Source organism: Homo sapiens, chromosome 17 (genome assembly GCF_000001405.40).
Source record: "Homo sapiens chromosome 17, GRCh38.p14 Primary Assembly".
In the NCBI taxonomy this organism is placed as follows: Eukaryota; Metazoa; Chordata; class Mammalia; order Primates; family Hominidae; genus Homo; species Homo sapiens.
In genome coordinates, this window is record NC_000017.11 from 30280086 (window position 1) to 30299215 (window position 19130).

Here is a 19130-nt window from a genome sequence, read left to right on the forward strand (position 1 = left end):
AGGCAGCTACAGGCAGACACAGAATGAAGGAGAGGTTAGAACAGTAAGGTAGTTCGAAGATAACAACCAAACTGCTTGAAAGAGAGCAAAACTTCATATAATTCTTCTGCTTAAAAATCTTCCTGACTTCTCATTGCCTATTGAATTGGGGCAAACTCTCATGCTAGTATTCTAAGTTCTTATTATCTGTGTCTAATTTTACCTTTCCACTGTTAAGGCTAGAAGATTTCAGTGCTTGAAACCACTGCAGAAGAGACAGAATCTTAGTCTTCATTTGTATTTGCAATACTGGGTTTTTGAGAAAGTAGTACAGTAAAGTCTAAAGCACTGTAAAAATATTAGTTACTTCTACTGTATAAAAATGCAAAACCCTACAATCATTTACCCCAACTTCTTTTTATTTTTTTAAGAGACAGGGTGTCCCTCTGTCACCCAGGCTGGAGTGCAGGGGTGTAATCACAGCTCACTGCAGCCTTGAACTCCTGGGCTCAAGTGATCTTCTTGCCTCAGCCTACCATGTAGCTAGAATTACAGGCACGCATCACCATATCCAGCTAATTTTTTCATTTTCTTGTAGAGATGGGGTCTCTCTGTGTTGGCCAGGCTGGTCTCAAGTTCCTGTGCTCAAGTGATCCTCCTGCCTTGGCCTCCCAAGGCACTGGGATTATAGACATTAGCCACCATGCACAGCCTACCCCAACTTTTTTTAGTTTTACTGATGGAGAAAGTAGTCTCAAAGGTAAAACGACCTATTGATCAAAGAATAGAATGGTCATAAGAACACTAAAGCAGTCACAGAAAACAGCTCAACTTTGAAAAAAGTTCAGTGCTGTGGGTAAATGAGCTAGTTATAGGAGAGAAGGAGTAAGGAACCTACCTTAGTGACTGTTTATTCACTGTTTATTCACAGAGGAAGAAGAGAAGGGAAGACAGCTGTCTACTACTTTCTGGTAGGGAATGAAAGAAGGGCAAAGATCTGTGTTTTTTTTTTTGTTGTTTCTTTGTTGTTTTTTTTTTTTTTTTTAAAGTAAAACACCTAAGCAGGCAGAAAAGCAGATGCCTTCTGGAGGCATTAAATGTTTTCGGGCACAGAAAGACATAAAAAGGTACACTCTAAAAGTATGTGCACTTCTGTGATGTTAAAGGGAATGAACTCATATAGATGATAACTAATAGTTAAATAATGATCTTGAGATTACTTCTAGAGGTGTTTATATCAAAGAAAGAAACAGAAATGCGGACTATCTGGCCCCACCCCCACACCTACTAGATCAATCTGCATTTTAACAAGATCCCAAGGTGATTCATGTGCACATTAAAGTCTGATGGCACTACTTTAGACCACATCTATTCTTTCCCTCTTCCAAAACCTTGCTTCTTCAATTATTACTTCTCTCATTCACACCTGCTACCCTTTTCTACACATTGGTTCCCTCACACTGCCCTAATTGCCAAAAAGCCTTCTTTCCTATCTGTAAGTTCACCCTTCAAGATCCCAGGACATTATCCCAATACTTTTCCTCGTCCTCCACATCCAATTCATCAGCAAGTCCTGACAGCTTCACTTCCAAAATATACCCTGAAAAATTTTTTGTTTCTGAGATGGGGTCTCGCTCTGTCACTCAAGCTGGAGTGCAGTGGTGACAATCATAGCTCACTGCAGCCTGGAATTCCTGGGCACAAGTGATCTTCCACCTCAGCCTCCTCCTAGCATATGCCAACACATCTGAACATTTTATAAACTTGATGTTAAAAATATATTTTTTAATCGAAGATGTCTTTAAAATAAAAATACAGATAACTAGGTTCTATTCCAGGGAAACTGACTTTGTGAGTCTGGGACAAGTTAGGCCTATCCTATATATTGTTTTCAATAGCTGACAGCCACTGCTATAGAATTTCCTAAGTCAATCATAAAGGCTTCTTTTCCCTTTTTGTGGCACTGACAAATATTGGTTTTGGTCTTTGATTGACTGATCGATTGATTTTAGAAATGAGGTCTCACTAGGTTGCCCAGGTAGCACTTGAACTCCTGGGTTTCTGGACTCAAGTGATCTGCCTTAGCCTCCCAAGTAGCTGGCACTACAAGTGTTACCACCATGCCTGGCTATGTTTTGCTTTTTAACAGACAAGGTTTTTTTTTTTTTTTTTTTTTTGAGACAGAGCCTTGCTCTGTCACCCAGGCTGGACTGCAGTGGCACAATTTTGGTCTCCACCACCTGCAGGGTTCCGGTGATTCTTGTGTCTCAGCTGCCCAAGCAGCTGGCATTATAGGCATGCACCACTATGCCCAGATGTTTTTTTCGTATTTTAGTAGAGACGGGGTTTTGCCATGTTGGCCAGGCTGGTCTTGAACTCCTGGCCTCAAGTGATCCATCTGCCTTGACCTCCCAAAGTGCTGGGATTATAGGCATGAGCCACTGCGCCCAACTGAGAATACATTAATAATCTTAAGGGGATCCGCAGGCTAAAAAAATGGACACTGAGATAACATTGCAATAGAGGTAACTACACATCTCCAAAACAGATCTGCCTTGCCTGTCATCTCAACAAGCAGCCTGCGTCTCACTTCTCAGTAAGAATGCCTTTAGCATAAACACATTTTATTCAAAGCTATCTGAGCTTCACGGCTGTTGATTAAGCCATCATTTTGACTTGCCTACAAGGTTACACAAATCATAGGTACTAATTTGGGGCTTTAAAACTGCAGCTAGACTCTTCATTACCAAAGAGTCAGGTTCAATGAAAAGAAGTCATTTGGGGGATTGTAAAAATTTTAAAACCTTATACACAGGGCCAGGTATGGCGGCTCACACTTTATAATATGCACAATCTTTGGGAGGCTAAGGTGGGAGGACTGCTTGAGCCCAGGTGGTGGAGATCGGCCTGGGAAATATAGTGAGACTGAATCTCTACACAATTTTTTTAATAAATGAGCTGGGCATGGTGGCATGCACCTGTAGTCCCAGCTACTTGGGTGGCTGAAGCAGCATTTGAGCCCAGGAGTTGAAAGTTACAGTAAGCTATGACTGCGCCTCTGCACTCCAGCTTGGGCAACAAAGCAAGACTCTGTCTCTAAGGGGGAAAAAACCCTTACACACAGAATTCTGTAGTAAATAGTTTAGGTAGAATCATTAAGTAAATAATCCTATAAAACATTCATACTCAGGATTTGGTAAAGTTGGATCTACTATTTCTCTGAGGCAGGAGTAGGGGAGGAAAAAAATATGTGAAACATATCTGCCCTAATTCTTACCAGCCAATTACCACGCTCTACCAATGATGAGGACATCAATCTTAGACACATCATTAGTTCAAAGATCATTAAAGCAAACATCAAAAGCCAAAAGGATGCTTATTATCTACAGCAAGTATTATCTGGGCCCTTTTCCACAACTGTTTGCAGAACCTTCATTCCTACTATACCTCCATCTTTTTTTTTTTTTTTTTTTTTGGAGACGGAGTCTCACTCTGTCACCAGGCTGGAGTACAGTGGCACAATCTCGGCTCACTGCAAGCTCTGCCTCCTGGGTTCAAGTGATTCCCCTGCCTCAGCCTCCCGAGTAGCTGGGACTACAGGCGCATACCACCACGCCCAGCTAATTATTTGTATTTTAGTAGAGACGGGGTTTCACCATGTTGGTCAGGATGGTCTTGATCTCCTGACCTTATGATCCGCCCACCTTGGCCTCCCAAAGTGCTGAGACTGCAGGCATGAGCCACCGTGCCTGGCCCCCACCATCTTAATCTAACCCTAAATAAAGGCAAATTATGTAGCAGATATAGCCTCTGCAAGACAGTCATTCCAAGCAAGAAGGGAAGAAGTAACATTTACAGAACTCCTGCTACGTGCCAGGCACTATGCCTTGCATGCTTACATTTAATCCTTGATTCCCCAAAAATCCAATAAGGAAAATATTTCAGATCCTGACTGAATCTCAGACAGGTTAAGTAACTTACCTAGGATCACAGACTGTTAAGTAAAAGAGTCAGAATTTAAACCCATGTATGTCTGACTCCAAAGCCTATTTTTTCCTACTATACTAAGATGCCTCTCTTCTGTAAGAATTTAAGAGATAAAAATGAGATTATTTAAATGCATTTGGTAAATGAAATTTCTGCATTCGTCCACTCAACAAATACTTAAGAAACAGCTATTGTGCCAAGCACTAGGCTAGACATGTTAAATATGAACTGAGCCTTTAGAGCTTAAGGAACTTGTCCCAGGATATAAAGTAATGAGAAGACTAGAGCTCAGATAGCCTGACTTCAGAGATTACACACTCCACTGCTCCACTATGCTGCATCTCTAAGATTTAAAGGAAAACACAAGTGAAGCATTAGTGTTTTCCATCGCAGTGAAAAAAAGTAGGCCATTTTAACTCCATACAGTCTTGAAAGGAAGCCTAATAAAGGGCCTACTGGCTGACAAACGGAAACATTTATTCTTTCCTCAAACCAATTGCAGTTTTATGCATATTCATTCTGGACATGGATAGTATTAATAATAAAGTTTCTTAACTGTCTTGATCATAAATAATATTACCACCTCATATTTTAGTGCTTTTTACATTTTCTAAAATGTTTTTACATACATTAACAAATATAACCATCAATAGCTCCGTCTTTATTTCTACAGAAAGAAGCCAAATGTTCTGGCATCGATCCAACATCCCTTACATCTCTGCCTTTCTAGCTTAATTTGCTACCCATCATACTGAAAAAAGTTATGTTTCAGCCACATGATTCCCTGAAGGTTCTATCTTTGTTTATGGCACTGTTCATACAATTCCTTTTGCCTAGAATGGTCTTGTTATCTACCTGGTAAATTCTGACTACTCTTTCAAGAGCTATCTTCCCTATGAAAGCTTCAGCTCACTGAGCTAGTCACTCCCTCCTCTATGACCACCAAATCAGTTTTTACACATCTAGCATAGGATTTATCATCATTATAGATGTGTTTTCTTTTTCCCAAGAGACTGAGCTCTTTAAGAGCAGTGACTATGTCTTTCTCATCTGTTTCCTCAGTGCCAAACTCATAGAAGGTATTTAATATTTATGAAATGATAAAAGAATGATTATACAGACCACTAAACTACGAATTAGAAAATCCAAGTCCAAGTCCTACACTAAAAGGCAAAGTAAGTTTTAAGCTCAGTTTTTTCAGTGTAAAATAAGTAATTTTCAATTCAATTAAACATTCGTTGCCATGACTAAAGCTTCCTAATCATTACTTTAACAGATGGGAATATTCTGAGAGTTCCTTAGAGGGGTCACAAAAAAATCCAAATTTTGTTATTACCTCCTCCATCATGACGTCCTGTGTGGCCGAGATTTCTCCTTTGGTTGCTCCACTGTGTACCAGGTTCCGCAGTCGTATACAGAATTCTCTCATCTATGACAGAAACTTATTCAGCACTCCAACAGTTACCCGAATTCAATTGTAAATGACTCTCATAGACCAACGCAAGTTCTATTTTGAGGTATAACTCAGGCCAGACCCATGACAGAGTTCATAAAGGCAAATGTGTTTTTCTTCAACTTGTCCACTTAAACACATAGCTAAAAATGCTTTCCATAAGGAGAAAAGGCATAAGTTACTCCTCCAAAATACTAGACGGAACTGCTCCTTCTCTGCAAACATCGCATAAAGGTGTTTTATGTGTCTGGGCATGGGGAAAACATGTGATCACATAATGCCTATCACTCAGAAAAAGCAGGAGACAAGATAATTATGCCACTATGTTACTCTCATAGATTTTTACTTAGAATTTCAATAGCTGTCCATTTTTCCTTCTCTGCCGGCTGACTATGACTATGGTTATGCCAGCCCCCAATAAAATTTTCATTTTTTCATTTCATTTTTTCACCAAGATAAAGGTGAGTCTGAAATTTAACCACAGTGCTAAAGAGGATGTTGCTCTGACTTCAAATGGAATCAAATGCCGTACTATTAATGATCTTTTAGCCTTTGGATAAGAATCCCCAGCGTTTCCAGGGTGGAAAATAGTCTACTTCTAATGTTGGGGAGACACACCTATAGTTGATTTTAAAATGTAATCTTTCTCCCAGGGAGATGAAAAATCCAATTTCAGCCTCATGGATTAGGACAGCAGATTCTGGCAACTCCCAGTTCTCAAAAACCATGCCTGGCTAGCAAAGCAGCATCCCCGTAGGAATTATAACTCTCCTAGGGAAAACTGGTTATGTAGAGAAGACACAATGATTCATTAAGATAACTGAAGCAAATAAAAAGCAGTTCAATAACTACAACAAATCTTTAGTGGGTGGATAAACCACATTGATGTGGTCTGGGGAAGTCTCAGAACACAGCACACTCTTTAAGGGAATCTTGCGAATAGCTCTTTTTGGTTTTACTAGCACATAAAGCAGTCCTAGCCCACCTCCACTAGAACCAAGTGAGAGACACCGCACCCTGTGTGCTTGTGGCCAATATTAATTGGACATGGGACTTTATTTCCTAACTATCCCCCTAAGAAAACATTAACATCAACAGAAATAAAAGTGGAAGTTTTTTAAAAGGAAAAACCCTCTAATATTAATTATTTTTAAAGTTATTAAGTAGCTACATTGCTTTTGACAGACATTGACATTGGTAGTTATCTTGTACACAAACTGTATACAGAGATACCCAGGAACCCCTTTTAAAAAATAAGTTTGAAGGAAAGTACACTAAACTCAATCCCACCCTGCTTCATATATTGTACCTTGTGATTCAGAATATCATTCATCCTTCTGGTTGCCTCTGTTGTATAAGATTCAGGGAAGCATTTCTTAGGGATAACACCATATTTTTCTAAAAGAAAACAAATTCTAGTGTTAAAGAAGGTAAAAAATTAGAAACCCTGGCAAAAATAGTGATTGTTTCAAAAAATAGGCGATATTTTGCTGGCTTACTTCAGAAAATCTTATACTTCATATTATGAAGCAGGGTTTTTTGTTTTTTGTTTTTTGTTTTTGACAGAGTTTTGCTCTGTCACTCAGGCTGGAGTGCTGTGACACGATCCTGGCCCACTGCAGCCTTGAACTCCCAGGCTTGACCTCCTGAGTAGCGGCAACTATGGTGCATGATACCATGTGCAGCTATTTGTTTTATTTTCTGTAGAGACAGGGTCTCACTATGTTACCCAGGCTGGTACTGAGCTCCTGGGCTTGAGCAATCCTCCTGCCCTGGTCTCCCAAAGTGCTAGGATTACATGCCTGAGCCACCTTACCCAGCCTAAGTAGGTTTTTAATGTGCATATTTATCTGTCTATGTTATCCTTTTTATCTACTATACTTTGTCACTTCTCAGCCTTTTGGTCAAGCTCAAGTGTATCTATCATACTTTTGTAAAGTGCTCAGCATGATGAGATTTCCCCAAAAGATGTTTTGAAGACATTTTAACACAGCTACAGTTTTAATGTGTTTCCTGATTACATCAATGGAGAAGAAAACAATTTTTTCATGGAAAATTAGTTCTCCTTAATACTACCTTTTCTTCTCCAACCCATCCTTCACAGTAGCTCTCTCCTTAATCCTCATTTAAGAAGGCACTTTATAGGTGAGAATGTGAACTAAAGGTCCTTAGAAATAACTATATATCCTTCTTGGAGACCAATTCTACTCTGTACACAACCACCAAAGAATTGGCCCATGCCTAACTACAGGCTTACTTAATCATGCTGAGTTTCAGTTCCATTAAAGAAAGAACTTTTACCAACAATATTAACAAGCATATCCCATTGGCCACCATCATTTGCAGGGTTCATAAGCAAAAACTGCACCAGCCTCCCATCCTCAGGCTCCTTTCTCTGGGCTGTGTCCACAAAAGCACTCAAGAAGAAATAACAGCGTTCAACCTAAAGAGTAAAGAAAGTTAAATAACATTAAAAGAAAAAAGTGTCAATAATTTTATTGGCATTATCAACAGAATGGGAGTCTTGGAATTACCATGGAATCAACATAATAGTTTTTTTTCTTTTTAAAAACATGAAACCTTCATGAATTTGCATGTCATCCTTGTACAGAGGCCATGCTAATCTTTTCTGTATCACCCCAGTTTGGGGACTTACGATGCTGAAACAAGCACCATAATAAGTATTTTTAAACTAAAATTGGTAAATAAACATCAGTATCTGACTTCATCAGAATATCTGAAGTTTCTTCTTTTACCTGTGTATGTATCCCAATATATTGTGTATATGTGTACAGTGTTTACATTCCAATGCTAAAACAAAACATTTAATGAACACCTATGTAATATATATTTTATTTACTTATTTATTTTTAGACAGGGTCATGCTCTGTTGCCTAGGCTGGAGTGCAGTGGTGCAATCTCACTGCAGCCTCAACCTCCTGAGCTCAAGCAATCCTCCTACCTCAGCCTCCTGAGTAGCTGGGAGGACAGGTGTGCACCACGCGTGGCTAATTTTTGTATTTTTTGTAGAGATGGGGTTTCGCCAGGTCCAGACTGGTCTCAAATTCCTGGGCTCAAGCAATCCTCTCACCTCAGCCTCCCAAAGTGCTGGGATTACAGGCATGAGCCACCAAACCAGGTCAGTAATATACATTTTGAAGATTAGGAAATGGAATATGGCCAGGAGTGGTGGCTCACACCTGTGATCCCAGCACTTTGGGAGGCCAAGGCAGGCAGATCACTTGAGGTCAGGAGTTCGAGACCAGTCTGACCAACACGGTGAAATGCCCTGTCTCTACTAAAAATACAAAAATTAGCTGGGCATGGTGGCATGTGCCTGTGATTCCAGCTACTTGGGAGGCTGAGTTGAGAGGATGGCTTGAACCCAGGAGGCAGAGGTTACAGTGAGCCGAGACTGTGCCACAGCCCTCTAGCCCGGGTGGCAGGGTGAGACTGTCTCAAAAAAATAAATAAACAAATAAACAATCAAATAAAATTATTTACTGTTTTTCAGACAAGTTCTTGAGAGGGAAATTAGGTCCTAGAAAAGAACAAATAACCTAAAAAGATGTTAAAAAGGGAGATATATTGAATTGAATATTGAATATAAAATTTAAAATTTTAAATAGACAAGCAAGCAGTAAGATGAGTCAGTAAACTTATTTCATTGCAAAAAAATGGCCACCTACCAACCAAAAACAGTTCTGCCTTTGAAAGAGTCAACTTTTGATACTCTGGAAGTCAGAATAAAAGGTGTCTCACCTATTATGAAAGGGCAGGCTATAACTGGAAAAGCTACAAAAGAAGAGGCAGTCCCTACCAAGGCTGATATCAATACAAAAAGAATCTTGCCAGATCTGTCCCATACCTTGTCCCAAAAAAACAGGTAAGATTGGCTAAACTCAAATTCTTCAATATTTAACTTTTTCATGAATGGAAGCCTCATAACATTCAGACAAGAAAAGATCCAGCATCGCCCTGAAACAAGAAAGCACATCAAGAAATTATGAGGGTTCACATAGACTGCACTGCTCCAACTGTATTTCCCACCAATGAACTCATGACACGATCTGGACAATTCAGAAAGAGTAAATCAGAAAGAGCAGAAAGATTAAAAACAAAACAAGAAAGGTGGTAATTATTATTAGCAATATATATGCAAAGGTTTAATATCTTTAACACAAAAACACTCTTTACGTATCAAATAAAGAATCCATTTTTCAGAGTAATGCCTTCTCCAAATTGTACTCTACTTCAAAATAAATTAACTGAGAGCGCCATTAGAAAAGTCTTTTAAGGTCTTAAATACAGGGAAATTATCTCTTTTCTGAGGGAAAATTCTGAGGGAAAAACTTTGACTTGTATTGGGTATAACCTTTTTACTAATATGAAAATATGTTTATAATATATTGGTAAGTGAAAAAGATAGGTAGCTTACATAACAATGTATAAGGTATCAATGCATATTAAACACTATTAAACACACACACACACACAAAACTTGACAAATATACAAGAAAAATATTTACTTGGTATTTACAAATATTCTACATTAAACAAAAATAATTTTGTAACAAGAAGAAAACTCTAGTTAACTATAGTGTTTTATGAAAGTCACTAGTGCCTATTAGTTCGTCTTTACCTTACATTTACCTGTATGTCACCTCTCTTCTATATGCTATATATTTCTAGTAGAGGGGATCTGGATGCACTGGTGATGTGAAAACTGCATGAAAATAAACTACACAACTCACATGCTATTTGGATCTTTTGTATGTAAAAGTGACACTGCAAAATGTGTAAGACCTGACCTGTTCCCTAACGGGTCACTGCAATCTAAACTATGTAGGACCACTGTGACATTACTAACTGGATCATCTGTAGCCTGAGAGCCCACACCACTCCAAGCACTTTCTTCTAAAGCAAAACATTAATTATTGTAAGGTCTTGACTTTTTCCTTAACATTTAAAAAATCAACTTTATTCAGGTATAATGTACATACAATAAAATGTACTCACGTTAAATGTGTGCTTTGTGAGTTCTAACCGACTCTAAACAAGCACTGATGTGCTTCCTGTCCGTATAGATAGACTGGGGGGTCGTTTTTAAGTATAGAAAGACTTTAAAAAATCCGTTTAGTACAATTTTGTTGTGAGAATGTGCTCCTTATTTAGATTGCTGGATATCCAATCTTTCACTATACCTGTTTTTTCTGAGAGTGGTGCTAGAAAGCAGATAGCAAAACGAGACTTCTTGACCAGCAAGGCATGAGAACAGAACTTTTTTCTGTATTACAAACTGATCTACTGGTGGGAACTGAGCCCATCAGCACATTAGCTTCAGTTGTAACCAAGAAGCATATTTAAAAGTAACATCTGATGACATTTTAATGTAATTACATTGTATCTTTTCTATTTCATAGTATAGGGCCTTCAGGGCATTTCTGGGGAGTCCTCCAAAGATATGAACATTTTCACATGTTCTGTTTTGTGACCAAGACCATACATCTCCAAGACACGGGCTACAAACCACACAGCATTGGAACATAATATAGTCAATTACACTCAAACGTATACTCATGGACATGTCACTTTTGTACTCTAACCGCATGTACTAACAAGCCACAGAACAGCAAAACAAACCACATGGGTAATGTTCTTAGACCTGCCTGTACCTGTGCCTCATTCTTTACGAATTTACGACCAGTTCTTTCAGTACGAATTTAAGACCACTCTTAAATAAGACACCAAAATGGGACGCTGTCAGGAAGGTCAAGGAACGTATGGGAGAAGTGGAAGCCCACACCTGAGCTCTTCTGGTTGGTGATTGGCTTGCCCTCCTGGGGCACGGCGTGCTGGAACACATGCTGCGCGCGCTGCACCGTGGCCCGCTTCAGACAGATGTCCAGCAGGTCGTGGGTGGTCCCGACATTCTGGGCAAGTACGAACTGGGGGTCGGAATTCAGTTTCTGTATCAGAGCAGCTACCTTCTCCGAATTCAGTCCTGTTGGGAGACCAAACAGGATTTTAACGCAAAAAGAGGGGGAAAGGGCTGATCTGGGGCTCCCGCGTCCCGAATCTAACTTCGTAAGCGCATCCTGGGGTGCCCGCTGCAGCGGGGAAACCCATAAGCGGCATCCTCCTCCAAGGAGCTGTCTCCCTCCAGGCCGATCCAGCCTGCCCCGAAAGCTCCCTCCCCGCCATCGCCAAGGGTCCCAGCCCCCGGCCTTCCCCGCCGCCGGGCCTCACGGGGACCGCGGAGCTCCTCCAGAGGACCGCGGCGGGGGACGGCGGCACCTCACCCGAGCTGCTCATGGCGCCCACGCTGCCCGGCGGGGTAACGGTAGCTTCCAGGGTCCTTGGGCGAGCGCCGGGATTGCGCTGCGGCTCGCTGCCTAGGGGGCCCGACCTGTCTCTCGCACCCGGAGCGCCGGAAAAAGGAAACCGGCTCGGCGGCGGCGGCGGCGGCGGCGGCGGGGAGGCTGAGGCTGGGAGAAACGGGGTCCGCGGAGGGACAAAACTCCCCCCTCGCGTTGCTGAGTCAGCGCCGTCGGGGCTGGCCCCGCCCGGGGGAGGGCCGACGGGGGCGGCCTAGCTGACGCGCTGGGTCCGCCAGCGCCCGGGGGCTGAGGCCGCGCCTGCCCCCGCGCAGGACCGCACAGATGGTCTGCGCGCCAGGGCGGCGCCGGCGCCTTCTCCCCCTAGGTTCCCGCCTCCGGGCCGCGCGGGCGCCCTCCCGGGATCAGGCCCGCTCCAAGGAGGGAGGCTGACGGGTTCCCTGTGGGCCCAGACCCCCAGTACTCTAGCATCGGGGAATCGTCCCCAGGAAGCCTTGTGAGAAGCCAAAAGGGAGCTCGAGGCGGGAGGGAGGAGCTGAGAGGTCCCATAATTAAGCGTCGGGCTTAGGACGGGTCGATATGTCACAAGGAATGCACCCGAAGGCTCTTCCTATAGGCTTCGTTTGCTGACCAATCACTGCATTCTCAATGGCAACTTGTTGCTTGGATTCTCATCAGAAGCAAATAATTGTCTTTGAGGGGGAATGGGAACCAAGCTCTTCCCCACCCACTCCAAAGCTACTACCAGAGTTCTACAAATAGACATCTGCTCATTTCAAGAACACTACCCATCTGGTCTTCACGGAGTCCACGAGTGGCTCCTGTATAGTCCAGCATGTCCCGTTGGGTTTAACTCAGGAGGATGACAGAGGCTAGCCGTATGCATCAATATTGTTTCGCCGAGTTCTCTACAAAACTAACTGATGCTCCCCCTCTAGGCTTTCAAGATAACTCAACAGTTTCCCAAAGTTTTGAGATTGTAAAAACCTTGTTTTTGTTGATTCCGTGTTTCATGCCCTGAAATCTCAGCCCTTAGTAAGATGCTGGGATAGAACCCACAGAGAGTAAAACAAAAACACTGAAACCCTGTATCTGCTATTCAAAACGATGAGGTTGAGTGTGTGTGTGTGTAACCTAGAATCTAGGTCTTCTTAGATTGAAAATCATCGCAGTTCTAAGGAACTCTGATATCTGGAAAAATCCATACTCAGGCACCAATCAGTCATTTGAGAAAGCACGGTTTCTATGTCCCTAGAGAGACTCGGCTAAAAATTGGGGCTATAACATAGCAACTATCTTAAGTGGGCCCATCAACCATCCTATTCTGAGGTTCTTTCAATATCTGAAAAAGAAGAGGCTGAAAATTATACAGAAAGAAATCACTGGTCCTTTCACAAAATGATGTTCAAGCATCCTGCCCAATTCAAGTCATAAATTTTTATTCAGTATCTAACATGTACTAGGCACTGGACAAACTGCTGATGACATAGAGACGAACAAAGCTTAATCTTGCCGTTAAGAAACTCAATGTAGTAGGAAAGAGATGCAAAACAACTTTTAGACTATCTGTAGTAGCATACCAATAGTGCTGTAGACTGTAGAAGCAATGAGGAGAGCACTGTCAATTAGGGCCAAAGGGTGCCTGAAAATAGAAGTGACAAGAGAGCATGATCTTGAAGAGTGGATGAGATTTTTACAAGTCAAAGAACAGGAGAAGGGCATTCAAGGCACCAGCGAAGGCGCAGTGAATAAAATCATGTTCAAGAAAGGGTGCATCATAATCGGATGTGGCTAAGAGCAAGGCATGTTTTGGGAGCAGAGGCAAGGTGTAGGACTGGAAAAGTTTTGTAGGTTTGGGCCAAGATATAAAGGGTTTTATGTTCAATGCCTGAGCATCTGGACTTTATCTTATGGTTAATTAGAAGACAAAATGGGTTTTGAAACAAAGGAAAAATATGCTCAAGTCTGTGTAAAAAAAGAAACCTGGTGGCAGTGGGGAGAGTAATTTGGAGGGGAGGGGCTCTGGAGATAGGGAAACTGGTTAGAAGGTTCTTCCAGTAGTGAACTTGGGAGAGGACAAAAGCCTTACATTGCGGAAAGGGAAGAGGCATTGATAATCTTGAAGTTTTCAGCGGAATAAGAAGATGGAAGGTGGTGTCATTAACCAAGAGAGGGCATACAGAAAAATAGGCATATTTGCATATTTGCAAGTGTGCAGATCTGAACTGAGTTTGGGCCATAGCAAAATTAGGATGCCCCACAGGACACCCAGGAAGAGAAGTTCAGGACGTAGATGAAAAGATGTCTAGAGATTAGATGAGACACATAGGTTCGAGGTGGAACAATGAAAGTCAGCAGGGTTACAGAGGGAAAGAGGATAGAGCAATAAAGAGATGAAGACCACAGATAGTGCCCTGGGCTGCAATGTGCAGTTGCACAGGGTGTTCATGGCACAAGGGCACCAGGCTGAGTGTGGTGAGTAGGGACTAAAATGCAGTCCAGGCTCTGCTTGCCAAGCCATGCACCCTGGCCCAGGCTGTGCACAGAGTATGATGTACCTTTCACTACTTTTTTTTTTTTTTTGAGATGAGTCTCACTCTGTCACCCAGGCTGGGGTGCAGTGGCATAATCTCGGCTCACTGCAACCTCCACCTCCTGGGTTCAAGCAATTTGCCTGCCTCAGCATCCTGAGTAGCTGGGATTACAGGCACGCACCACCATACCCGGCTAATTTTTGTATTTTTAGGAGAGACGGGGTTTCACCATGTTGGCCAGGCCGGTCTTGAACCCCTGACCTCGTGATCTGCCCACCTCGGCCTCCCAAAGTGCTGGAATTAAAGGCATGAGCCACCACGCCTGGCCCCTTTCACAACTTCTTATAAGGATGCCATATGGGAGTAGTATTAGCTCTGAAAATGATAATGTTTAAAGTATGGGTGAAGACAGAGGAGCCAGCAGAAATAGAAAGATCAGTCAGCGAAGTAGGAGACCCGGGGAGTTATGTCCTGGAATCCCAGGAAGGCAAGGAGAGGACAGTGAATTGAATTAAAAGCTGCAGAAAGTCAAGTAAGATTGGTTTTGGCAACTGGGTTACAGGCAACCTTAGAGAGGGCAGTTTTAGTGGAAGGGAAGGGTGGGCAGAAGCCACATCGTAATGAGTTGAGAGGGAGGTAAATATTAGGGAAGCTCTTTGGGGAGAAAGGGTAAATTTGTGTCTACTGGAGGATGAGAGGAAGGAACCAGTACAGATGAGAGATTAAATATGTGTCAGAGAGGATACAATTGCAAGAGTAAGAGCTCAGGAGGAGATGGAATCACTGGGGAAGGTGGAGGGGACCAGTTTTACAGCTATTGCCACCCTTTCCATACTGGCGATTACATTTCTCCACCCCATGCCCAGAGATTTCTATCATCATCTCTTTGCTGGCCTCCTGCTCTGTCCTCATCATCAGGGTGGCACCCTTATTACCAGATTTCCACCCAGCAATTCACACCCATGCACTCAGCCCCCATATGGGCATGGTGAGGAGGTACAGAATAAAACCGGTTTCCCAGTGGGTTACCCCCAAATGACCTACCCAGGAAGACATTTCTCCAAGAAGAAAATTCTGTGTTCTATCCTTCTTATTCCAGCCAGAAGAGATGTTGTACAGCCCGGTGACACCTCGTGGGACAAAGCAACCAGAAACAGAATTCTAGTATGAAGTCTCTAATATTAAAAAAGAAAATATTGCCTGTAATCCCAGCACTTTGGGAAGCTGAGGTGGGAGGATTCCTGCCTTGAGTTCAAGGCCAGGAGTTGAAGACCAGCCTGGGCAACATAGTGAAACTCCACCACTACAAAAAAAAAAAAAAAAAAAGAAAGAAAAAGTTTTATAAAAAATTAGCTGAATGTGGTGGCAGACACTTTTAGACCTAGCTACTCAGGAGACTGAGACGGGAGGATCACTTGAGCCCAGGAGTTTGAGGCTGCGGTGAGCTATGATCACACTGCTGTACTCAGCTCTCTCTAAAAAGAAAGAAAAGAAAATCTTTATAAATCCTGTGAGGCAGCACCATTTGCCACTGCAGATATGCCTTCTGCCTGTTGCTTCCATGCCACTCTACCAAGTTAAAGCAAACAAGGCCAGTCTCAAGGCAAATTTTCCACCCTGTGTCTCCTCCTTTGCTGTCCACCAATCTTTGACATGTGTTTGTCAACTACTTCTTTTTTTTTTTTTTTTGAGATGAAGTCTCGTTCTTGTCCCCCGGGCTGGAGTGCAATGGCGTGATCTCGGCTCACTGCAATCTCTGCATCCCAGGTTCAAGCAATTCTCCTGCCTCAGCCTCCCAAGTAGCTGGGATTACAGGCACCTGGCCACCATACCCAGCTAACTTGTGTATTTTTAGTAGAGACGGGGTTTCACCATGTTGACCAGGCTGGTTTCGAACTCCTGACCTCAGGTGATCCGCCTGGCTCGGCCTCCCAAAGTGCTGGGATTACAGGCATGAGCCACTGTGCCCGGCCGCAACTACTTCTATTTCAATAGAAAAGACCAGGTTTTTATGTTGAATGGAAGTCTAGGCTAGAATCTAACACAAACATTCTCCAATTCTATGAAACTCATTCATACTTAAGTGTTGTCCCACTAACTCCAAGATTTGCCTTGGTCAGGAAGCCTCCTTATATTTCACTAGATGTGATAGTCAGCTTCAGAGTTCACACATTGGTAGTCTACTGGAGCAAATTCAGCTTTGAGACGTTTTGTTTGGCCTGCATGGTAATTTAAAATTTTTGAGCTGGCCGGGCAGTGGCTCATGCCTGGAATCCCAGCACTTTGGAAGGCTGAGGCAGGCAGAATGCTCAGGAGTTGGAGATCAGCCTGAGCAACATGGCAAAACCCTATGTCTATAAAAAATACAAAAATTAGCCAGTGTGATAGTGTGCACCTTAGTCCCAGCTACTTGGGAGTCTGAGATGGGAGGGTTGCTTGAGTTTGGGCGGTTGAGGCTGCAGTGAGTCATGATCATGCCACTGCCCTCCAGCCTGGGTGACAGAGCAAGACGCTGTCTCAAAAGAATTTTTTTTTTTGAGACAATATTTATAACTGGGAAGTTTCAGATCCAAATCTGGGTAGCTGCCTTCTCTTTAAAATATTGTTGTTTTGGCTAGGTGCAGTGGCTCATGCCTACCACTTTGGGAGGTCAAGGAGGCAGATCACTCGAATCCAGGAGTTCAAGACCAGCCTGGGCAACATGGTGAAACCGATAGTGACAGGAGGCAGTCAAATGCCTAGGCAGATAGGGGTGGGTCCCCGGTGAAATCCCACCTTCAAGCCAAAGACAGTTTAAAGCCTGAAAGCCAAGCTACAAGTCTTGGATGAATCCATGGACTGGATTGAGAACCCCTCTTCCTGTTTGGCATGGTTTCCTCTGACTGAGCCCCATCCTTCACCTAATTTACATATACCTACCCTTCCCTAATTGATTTTTGACACTGTTGTGCCTTTGTTTCAGCCTTTTTGCCATACCCACAAACCAATCAGCACACGCTGCCCCATTCTGAGCCCATAAAAGCCCCGGACCCAGCCACACTGGGAGAGAGACCACCCAACTTCAGGTGGCAGACCATTCTCGCATTCCCTCTCTATTGAGAGATATTTCATTGCTCAATAAAACTCTTCTCCGCCCTCCTCACCCTTTGATTGTCAGTGTAGTCTCATTCTTCTTGGAAGTGGGACCCTGCTGAATGCAAATATGAAAAGGCAGTAACACTGTAGCCCTCTGCCCTGCATTGGCACCTGGCAGCTGCCCCACACTATGACAGGGCTGGGCCAACCCAGAGCCATGGGCTAGAGCAGGGCAGTGGGACTGATAGAACTGTTAACCCCAGACTAAAAGAGCTGTTAGCATGTTGTAACACCCCCTCTGGGGCTTCAGGGTCACAGGCTTCCCTATTTGGGCACCACCACATTCCCCTCACCTGGATGCCAGAGTCCACCACAGGAGTCTCTTGCGACAGGTGTGGTCCAACTGCAAGCCCCACATGGAGCCCGCTTCTATGCCAGCACTTGGAGCTGCTGGCCAGACCCTGCACTCGCTCACCCACACACCCCTTCCCACTGGGGGCTGAGCATGCAATTGTGGTGCCTGTGGGATCCATGCTGGAGCACAAACCAGGCACAGCCTATGGGCTGAGTGGGCTGGATGCCTCCTGCAGCAAGCCCAGTGCCAAGCAAGGCCAGGACAGGGGCATCACTGGCCAGAGGTCTCTGGCTGGCAAAGCAGCCGAGAAAAATCCCGTGTCAAAACCCCATCTCTCCCAAAAATACAAACATTAGCCAGGCATGGTAGTGTGTATCTATAGTCCCAGCTACTTGGGAGGCTGAGGTGGGAGAATGGTTTGAGCCTGGGAAGCAGAGGTTATAGTGAGCAGAGATTGTGCCACTGCACCCCAGCCTGGGCAACAGAACCGAACCCTCTCAAAAAAAAAAGAAAAAGAAAAAAAAATTGTTGTTTTCCCATGATAGTAATTTCTGCATCAAAAGAGGGGGAAAAAGTGTTACATTTATTGCCTATGGATATTTGCGTTTTCAACTCCTGATTTAGAATGACCTGGGTGGAGTTTGGGAAAATTATTTTTCCCCTTCCACTCTCATCCCCATTCTTATCCTTGTAATTCCCACCTCCCTGAGATGAGCAAAGCCAGCAGGTGTGACCCTGCCAAAACTTTGAGATATTGGATCCTGGGGCTTTTTGGGCCCACAGGAGCCTATATCCCTTCACTATAACTTTTCTCCAGAATGTGGCGTGCACCCATCTGTGTCCAGGAGAACTGGCAGCTTTCTGACATCCACCTTCCCTGCCACTCCTAAACTCCATGTGGGCTTAACCCAACCTGTGGCCTCTCCTTCAGCCCAAAGAACTTTAGATTCAGGTTTTAAATGTTTCAGCATATTCAACATTAGTTGTAGATTATTTTGGGGTTTTTTTTTTGAAACGTGATCCAATGTTCTTGAATGTTGTTGCTTACACCCACATTATTCTCACCTCTGGATATAACATTTCTGCCAGTCACTGCTCTAGGTGCTAGCACTTCACAGAGCATTCTAGGCAGAGGAAACAACATATGCAAAGGTAGAGGCATGAATGGCCTTGAGTCTGATTCAAGAACAATGAAAAAGTTTGAGTTTTATGACCATTTGAGTTATGCAAATTTGAAATCATTCATTATAAACCATTAATAGTACTTCATTATATACACAAAATTTGAAGTGGTGTGAAACCTTTGTAATATTTAATATTTGTCAGGAATTGCATACTTTCAAACCTGGTGGTGGTAAAGTGAGTTAGAAACTGTTTATGCTAGTGCCACATGGTGGAGCCATTTTAGC

The 19130-nt window shown here is 43.2% G+C and overlaps 1 protein-coding gene, 1 long non-coding RNA gene and 1 pseudogene across 2 annotated transcripts in view, besides 3 other annotated features; 1 reads left to right on the forward strand and 2 right to left on the reverse strand.

The window, feature by feature from the left end:
• The window catches only part of BLMH (bleomycin hydrolase), a 43742-nt gene extending 31883 nt beyond the window's left edge, over positions 1-11859 (reverse strand). The window contains exons 1-6 of the mRNA NM_000386.4: positions 11722-11859; positions 11226-11423; positions 9288-9397; positions 7721-7862; positions 6729-6817; positions 5303-5395 (exon numbers count right to left, since the gene is read on the reverse strand). Of these exons, the coding sequence (NP_000377.1) occupies positions 5303-5395; positions 6729-6817; positions 7721-7862; positions 9288-9397; positions 11226-11423; positions 11722-11734 (645 nt within the window). The 5' untranslated portion in view covers positions 11735-11859. The remainder of the gene's footprint in view (positions 1-5302; positions 5396-6728; positions 6818-7720; positions 7863-9287; positions 9398-11225; positions 11424-11721) is intronic.
• On the reverse strand, positions 7986-8092 carry RNU6-1267P (RNA, U6 small nuclear 1267, pseudogene; annotated as a pseudogene).
• Positions 11080-11139: an enhancer, noted in NCBI's record as "active region_11992". NCBI's record gives its function as "activates an Ori minimal core promoter by ATAC-STARR-seq in GM12878 lymphoblastoid cells {active_cell/tissue: GM12878}" and the evidence as "EXISTENCE:reporter gene assay evidence [ECO:0000049][PMID:35858748]".
• Positions 11590-11659: a silencer, noted in NCBI's record as "silent region_8394". NCBI's record gives its function as "represses an Ori minimal core promoter by ATAC-STARR-seq in GM12878 lymphoblastoid cells {active_cell/tissue: GM12878}" and the evidence as "EXISTENCE:reporter gene assay evidence [ECO:0000049][PMID:35858748]".
• Positions 11860-12269: a silencer, noted in NCBI's record as "silent region_8395". NCBI's record gives its function as "represses an Ori minimal core promoter by ATAC-STARR-seq in GM12878 lymphoblastoid cells {active_cell/tissue: GM12878}" and the evidence as "EXISTENCE:reporter gene assay evidence [ECO:0000049][PMID:35858748]".
• LOC124903971 (uncharacterized) lies at positions 14605-17433 on the forward strand. The gene is made up of 2 exons (XR_007065700.1): positions 14605-15455; positions 16910-17433. It is a non-coding gene; the product is annotated as an uncharacterized LOC124903971 (long non-coding RNA).
• The last annotated feature ends 1697 nt before the right edge of the window (positions 17434-19130 follow it).